This window comes from Homo sapiens, chromosome 12 (genome assembly GCF_000001405.40).
Source record: "Homo sapiens chromosome 12, GRCh38.p14 Primary Assembly".
In the NCBI taxonomy this organism is placed as follows: domain Eukaryota; kingdom Metazoa; phylum Chordata; class Mammalia; order Primates; family Hominidae; genus Homo; species Homo sapiens.
The window spans coordinates 73,540,809-73,549,121 of record NC_000012.12 but is presented as its reverse complement, the minus strand read 5'-3'; positions in this window follow the sequence as shown (position 1 = coordinate 73,549,121).

Sequence of the window (8,313 nt, the reverse complement as noted above, 5' to 3'; positions counted from 1 at the left end):
TTCAGCCTGATATTACGTTTAAATAAACTCATCTATTTTTCTTTAAAAATTATAGTATTCACTGCTTCTACTAATCAAATGTATAATTTTTAACAAAATATTTTTTCAGTGAAATATTTTTCAGTATGTATTTTAGAAACACATACATACATTTTTGGCAAATTTCTAGAATTTTATTGCCATGAAAAAAAATCACAGGATGAGGGAGGTGGAGTAGAAAATGTCTCAGTCTTTAAGCTATAACCATTTGTATTCTATAAATGGGAATGGCTCTTTTGTTTTGGTTTTGCGGAAGTGCTCTACTTCTATTCACCTTTCTGTCTTCATCTCTACTACACCTCATCATCTCTACAATCTATTCCCCAACTATAATAAGCTCTAGTTCACTGCACAATGTACTCTTTCTGGTCTGGAAAGTTTCCTAGCCTGTACTTTACCTTCTCTACCCAAATAGCCCCAACTTGTCCTTTAGGACTCAATGAGAGCTCAGGCCATCTGGGAAATCTTTCCCTTCCACCCATGGCTCAGGTGAATTGTTGTCTTGCACACTCTCTTTTTTATGTGTGTCCTTATAGTTGCAATGCAATGATTCCCAGGATGCTTGCATGTTAAAATGTATGACTCTTTCACATGTTTGTGCACAGCCTGAGAGCCAGATGAGTGTCTTCTGAACTGGGAAAAATAACTGGCATGGAATTAACACTCAATGAGTGAGTTGAATAAGTAAAGATTCTGGGATATACAAATTGAGATGAAACTAAAGGTATCATGCATGCTAATGACAGAAAGTAGGCAGCACTCTCCTCAAGTTGCTCTACTTAAAACCATTAGAATTTAACTCAGAAGATGAGAGCAAGTGTTTTCAGCATTGGATATTCCTCCTGGGCCACCAACTAGCACCCAGTCAAAATCCACTTCATGTAGATTTTTTGGCGCTTTGGCTTGTATGTCTCCATCTCTTTTATCCCCCTCTCTCCCTTCCTTTCTCTCTGGACTGAGAACCAACTTGTTTTAGACCTAAGAATTCTAGCTTTAAGTTGCAGCATCAGAAAACTATACAGCAAGAATAGCTGGAAATTACTGTCATCCACAATTCTTTTGAGAGTTAATTCCTGCTTCAATATTAAGTATCCAAAAGACAGGTCATATCTAGTAGTTTAGTAAAATGTTATATTTTGGATACGATTTAAATGTTTTTCATTTATTAGTTTGCATGATGAATCATGCTGTATTTTGTGTGTCTTTGATGCCTTTCTCTAAAATTCCTATTCAATATGAAATATCAAGGACTAGAAAAAGTATTAATTTAATACTAATATTTATTTAGAATATACTCTGTTCCAGGAACTTTTCTACCATGTATTTCAATATTTATTAATACAATTTCCTCTTATTTAAATTTCCCTTTTTACTTTCTTTGGTTAGAACCTATGCATTTTTTTTCCATCTAGACCATTGCAAAACTCAGAGCTAGTAAAATCAACCCCTTGTTTAGAAAGAATGCCAATGACTCATCATTGCTGTAACAGGGGTTAGCATACTTTTTTCTACAAAGAGATGGAGAGTAAATATTTTATGCTTTGCATGTCAAGAAGCAAAATTATATTTTAAGGTATTTATATAACACAGTAGAAAACAAATTTCCATATATTCTGATTGATGAAATTCAAACTATAGTAAAATAACAATAATGAACACTTTTTTATTATACAAGTCTACTAATTAGAATGAATTTGGAAGAATTAAAACTTGGGGTTCAAAAATAGTGTTCTGCATTATCACATCAATTGTAAGTTCCTGTCTATAAAAATAGTTCTTAGCTTGTGTGCTATACAAAAATAGTCAGTGGACAGAATTTGGCCCATCAGGCATTCAAACAGTGTTCAATGTCACAGGGTTTTTCATAAGGTTTTTTTCTACCCATCTTTTGGACCTCATTCCCATGTTTCTTAATATCTCATTTCCACGAAACCTATGATTAGGAAAAGATGCACATTTAATGGGGCCTGAAAGCTTAAGCAATTTTAGGGGAGGTGGAAGAGGACTTCTTGAGAAAAAAATAGAAGATTTCAACTTGATGTGAAAGTGAATATGTACTTGGAATGTGCATGGAAGGTGCTGCAAATTTAAAAGTTATTTGAATATCTCCCAAATAAGAGAAAACATCTCAAAGTTCAGAAAAAAAACTATGACCTATGTCATACCTTCATGCTATAACTCAAGTAAGTTTAAACATTCAGTAATAGTGATACTTGAAAGCCATTTCTACACCAAAATGATGGGCAATATCTAAGCAATATGCAGAAATGACCTCAAAGCACATAAACATGTCCCATCAAACAGCGTATACCCCCATTCCACTTCCCATTAGTCAAGTAACAAAAATGGCAATGGCCCCCCTGATGCCATTCAGCATGAGGAAAAGTATCACAGAGAAGTTAGAGTAGAGAGAGAGGTGGTCTTAACTGGCTATATTCAAAATATATCAGTTTTGTAAGTTTAAAAAATTATAGGACCAAATGAATGCAGGGGAATGCAGGGATCTCTCCTGGGTTCTTGGCTGAAGTTCATGCCAGTGAAAATCCTTGATTCATAAGCTTCTTCCATCTTTTCTACAGGGTAGAAAATGCATCTCTACCCTATATCTAGCCATTCCCAAACTGTAGCCATTCCATAAAAATGCCATGTATTTCCTGCTGTTGTGTATTTGCTTCAGCTTCTCCTTCTGCTATCAATTTGTGTCTTTTTCAAAACATCTAGACTGGGTTAAACTATTTTATCTTGTATAAACTGTAGGAATCATTCTTATGTTTCAGGAATTATTCTGATGGTATCATTACATGTCTTTATTCCTCTCCACTACTCTATTTGTATATAGTTTTTACAGTTTCTGGAGCATAACATCTACTCAATGAATATTTAATTTATGCATTGTTCAACATTAAGTATGTGAAGAAAGAAAAGATGATAAGAAATTAAAAATAACTGAATTGATTATAAAATGCCCTCTTAATAGCACTGTTATCAATGTCTCTCTGTGAATTTTAATAGGAATAATTAAATGTTCTGTTAAATTTTAGAAAAAAAGGTGTTTTTTTTTGCAAAACAGTATTCATATATTCTATTAAAATGTAGGGAATACATGCATATCTTCTACTGAGGATTTTTAGAAAAAAATTCTTTTTAGGTTAGCAAGTTGAATTTTGTTCTTAAATCTAATACACAATGCAGTCTACAGCCTACTAATTTGATTAATGTAATGTTATATTTAAAATAATCTCTAGTGCTTTTCTAATCAAGTTGAGAGTCTTTTTGCAATTTTATAAAAGTGATTTGGCAATTTGACAAAGTAGGTCATCAAAGCTCTGTTTCCAAAATATGTAGCTTCATCAAAGCTGTAAAAATTATGTTTCTACATAAAGACATGCAAAATGAGAGAACTGCATTTCTTCCAAGTCCCGGGCATTTAGTTTTTCTTTTATAATTTAAATTTCATTTACATTAAATAGAGATATAGAGGGACACTATTTAAACTTTAATTCATAACTTTCAATATATAATTTTAATAACAGCAAGTGTTTATTGATTTTTGAACCAAAGATGGTTAACAAGTGTTATTTATATTGCTTGTAACAATCTTGTCATGATTATCCTCCTTTTAAATATGTGAAATTAGGACTTCAATTTAAACTAATTGAAATTGGAATAATAAGGATTTTTAGGGGTCTTTTATTTTTTGTGGGTACATAGTAGGTATCTATATTTATGGAGTATATATTTTGTTACAGGCATACAATGCATAATAATCACATTGTGTAATATGGGGTACCCATCCTCTCAAGCATTTATCCTCTGTGTTACAAACAATCCAACTATATTATTTTAGTTATTTTAAAATATATGATTAAATTATTATTGACTATAGTCACCCTATTGTGCTATCAAATACTAGGTCTTATTCATTCTTTCTAACTTTATCTTTGTACCCATTAACCATCACCAACCCCCAACTACCATTCCCCACCTCTGGTAACCATCCTTTTACTCTGTATCTCGATGAGTTTAATTGTTTTGATTTTTAGATACCACAAATAAGTGAGAACATGTGATGTTTGTCTTTCTGTGCCTGGCTTATTTTACATAGCATGATTAATTCCATCTAGTTCTATTCATGCTGTTGCAAAGGACAGAATCTCATTCTTTTCATGGCTGAATAGTACTCCATTATATATAAGTAACACATTTTATTTGTCCATTTATCTGCTGTTGAACACTTAGGTTGCTTCTAAATAAAAAATATTTATAAAAATCTGAATCTTATATTTGCGTTCACTAACACATACTGCCTTCTTTAAAGTGACTTCCCATATATCTGATATTTATTGTGTTTATGTGTATTTTTTGTATATGTGGATATAGATAAAAATAAGCACATTAATATATGAAAAGTATAATTACTGTACAATTTCTGAGAAGAATAAGTACTTTCTTTTTCTCCAGGTTCATTAGACACCTAGACAAACTTAGCTTTACATATTCCATTTAATATCTATTGACTTAGAACAAGGAAGGTACTTAACCTCTCAGATCCCCATTTTTTGATTTGTATAATGGATAACAATATCTTAATTACAAGGTAGTTTTAAACTAATAAAATAACATATAGACCACTGAGACAATTTCCTGAAATAATTCCAAGTAACTTCAGGCCAGGATGAGAGATAGACTCATTCTTCACACATCAAAAATGGCATGCTAATTCTCTCTAATAAAATTAAAATACTTTATTTGTTTATCCTGAGATTGCATCTTCCCCAATAAGACAAAATTGATTATGGATTTTAAGAAGCACTATAAAATTTTGACTTAAAAAGATATTCTACTATGATATTCATGACAGTAAATTGATTTCTCTTTTTCTCCTTGCCACGAAAGAATATCCAAGAGCTGAGATCCCACTGACTTCAAAGGAAGTGCATACATGCATTAACTGAGCAATGTGCAGGGCAAGATAAGAAATGACCCCTTTAATTCTATAAATAGAGGCCTACAGACAGCCAAACAAGCTTGAAATTCATTTATCTATTCTTTTTAAATGTTATATATGAAGATTCAACCGTATTGATATAAATGATATAAATATTAATCTCATGGAAATATGTAAATAAATATTTAAATGCCCTCAAGTGAACAAAATTAAGAAATTAAGTAAGTTCAAGTGATTTTCTCTATTATATATGAATTACAAATGTCATAAAATTTTTGGTATAATAAACAGATAAGTTCTTCTGATAAAAATCTTCTCATCTGAGTGAACTTAAATTGTTAAGGTTTCTTTTCAAAAACCACATATGTAGAACTCTTTGACCTTGTGACATTTTATACATTTAATTCACACAAACTATAATAAGGAATTATCAGCCTGATCTGATAATTACTATAATACAAAGGGTGTGTCCTTTTGAAAAAAGCTATCTCACTCTCTCCTAAGGAATATTGGAAAGATATGAATACTGAAATTAATTATGTTTTGTTTCTCATTTACAAGTCTGTCATAAAATGAGAAAAATTATAGATGGATAAATGATGATAAGGATTTTATATATATATACACACACTCAAGTATACATGTATATAGTCAATTTTCAATATAAGAAATGTGCTTTCATAGATTTTATTCTATATATTTTTGAGGTTAAATTGTTCTTCTTTTTTGAAATTATATTTAATTAGTACATAATGGTTGAGTGCATATGTGTGTGTCTTTTAAATTTTATTTTATTATTGTATTTTTATTTAAGTTCCAGGATACATGCGCAGAACATGCAGGTTTGTTACATAGGTATATGTCCACCATGGTGGTTTGCTGCACCTATCAACCCATCACCTAGACCCACATACAGTAGCTATTTGTCCTGATGCTTTCTCTCCCCTCGCCACCCACCCCAGAGGGGTCCCCATGCGTGTTGTTTCCCTCCCTGTGTCCACGTGTTCTCCTTGTTCAACTCCCACATATGACTGAGAACATGTGGTGTTTGGTTTTCTGTTCCCATGTTAGTTTGCTGAGGATGATGGCTTCCAGCTCCATCCATGTCCCTGCAAAGGACATGATCTCATTCTGTTTTGTGGCTGCATAGTATTCCATGGTGTATGTGTACCACATTTTCTTTATCCAGTCTGTCATTGATGCTCATTTGGGTTGGTTCCATGTCTTTGCTATTGTGAATAGTGCGTCAGTAAACATACATGTGCATGAATCTTTAAAACAGAATGATTTATATTCCTTTGGGTTTAACATCTAGTAATGGGATTGCTGGGTCAAATGGTATTTCTGGTTCTAGATCCTTGAGAAATAGCCACACTGTCTTTCACAATGGTTGAACTAATTTACATTCTCACCAACAATGTAAAAGCATTCTTATTACTCCACAGTCTCTCCAGCATCTGTTATTTCTTGAGTTGTTAATACTCGCCATTCTGATGGGCGTGAGATGGTATCTCATTGTGGTTTTGATTTGCATTTCTCTAATGATCAGTGATGTTGAGCTTTTTTTCATATATTTGTTGGCTGCATGAACATCTTTGAGACGTGTCTGTTCATATCCTTTGCCTGCTTTTTGGCAGGGTTGTTTGTATTTTTCTTATAAATTTGTTAAATCCCTTGTTAATTCTGGATATTAAGCCTTTATCAGATGGGTATATCACAACAATTTTCTCCCATTCTGTAAGTTGCCTGTTTGCTGTGATGATAGTTTCTTTTGCCATGCAGAAGCTTAGTTTAATTAGATCCCATTTGCCAATTTTAGCTTTTGTTGCAATTGCTATTGGCAATTTCATCATAAAATCTTTGTCCATGCCTATGTCCTGAATGGTATTGCCTAGGTTTTCTTCTAGGACTTTTATAGTTTGTGGTTTTACATTTAAGCCCTTAATCTATCTTGAGTTTATTTTATATAAGGTATAAAGAAGGGGTCAGGTTTCAGTTTTCTCCATATGGCTAGCCAGGTTTCCCAGCACCATTTATTAAATAGGGAATCATTTTTCCGTTGCTTGTTTTTGTCAGGTTTGTAGAAGATCAGATGGTTGTAGATGTGTGGTCTTATTTCTGAGGTCTCTATTCTGTTTCATTGGTCTATATGTCTGTTTGTTTACCAGTACCATGCTGTCTTGGTTACTGTATCCTTGTGGTATAGTTTGAAGTCAGGTAGTGTGATGCCCCCAGCTTTGTCCTTGCTGCTTACAACTGTCTTGTCTATGTGGGCTACTTTTTTGTTCCATACGAATTTTATAGTAGTTTTTTTCTGATTATGTGAAGAATTTCAATGTTAGTTTGATGGGACTAGCATTGACTCTATAAATTACACAATATGGCGATTTTTACAATATTGATTCTTCTTATACATGAGAATAGAATGTTTCTCCATTTGTTTGTGTTCTCTCTTATTTCCTTGAGCAGTGGTTTGTAGTTCTCCTTGAAGAGATCCTTTGCGTCCCTTGTTAGCTGTATTCCAATGTATTTCATTATCTTTGTAGCAAATGTGAATGGGAGTTCATTCATGATTAGCCTCTCTGCTAGTCTGTTGTTGGTGTGTAGGAATGCCTGTAATTTTTGCTCATTGATTTTTGTATCCTGAGACTTTGCTGAAGTTGCTTATTAGCTTAGGGAATTTTTGGGCTAAGATGATGAGGTTTTCTAAAGATAGGATTATGTTGCCTGCAAACAGAGACAATTTGACTTCCTCTCTTCCTATTTGAATACACTTAATTTCTTTCTCTTGCTTGATTACCCTGGCCAGATCTCCCAATACTGTGTTGAGTAGGACTGGTGAGAGAGGGCATTCTTTTCCTCTGACAGTTTTCAAAGGGAATGCTTTCAGCTTTTGCCCATTCAGTATGATATTGGCTATGGGTTTGTTATAAATAGCTCTTATTATTTTTAGATATAGTCCATCAGTGCCTAGTTTACTGAGAGTTTTAACATGAAGAAATGTTGAATTTTATCTAAGGCCTTTTCTGCATCTATTGAGATAATCATCTGGTTTTTGTCATTGGTTCTGTTTATGTAATGGATTATGTTTATTGATTTGCATATGCTAAACCAGCCTTGCATTCCAGGGATGAAGCCAACTTGATCGTGGTGAATAAGGTTTTTGATATGCTGCTGGGTTCAGTTTACCAGTATTTTATTAAGGATTTTTGTATGAATGTTCATCAGGGATATTGGCCTGAAGTTTTATTTTTTTGTTGTGTCTTTGACAGGTTTTGATATCAGGATGATGTTGGCCTCATAAGATGAATTAGGGAGGATTCTCT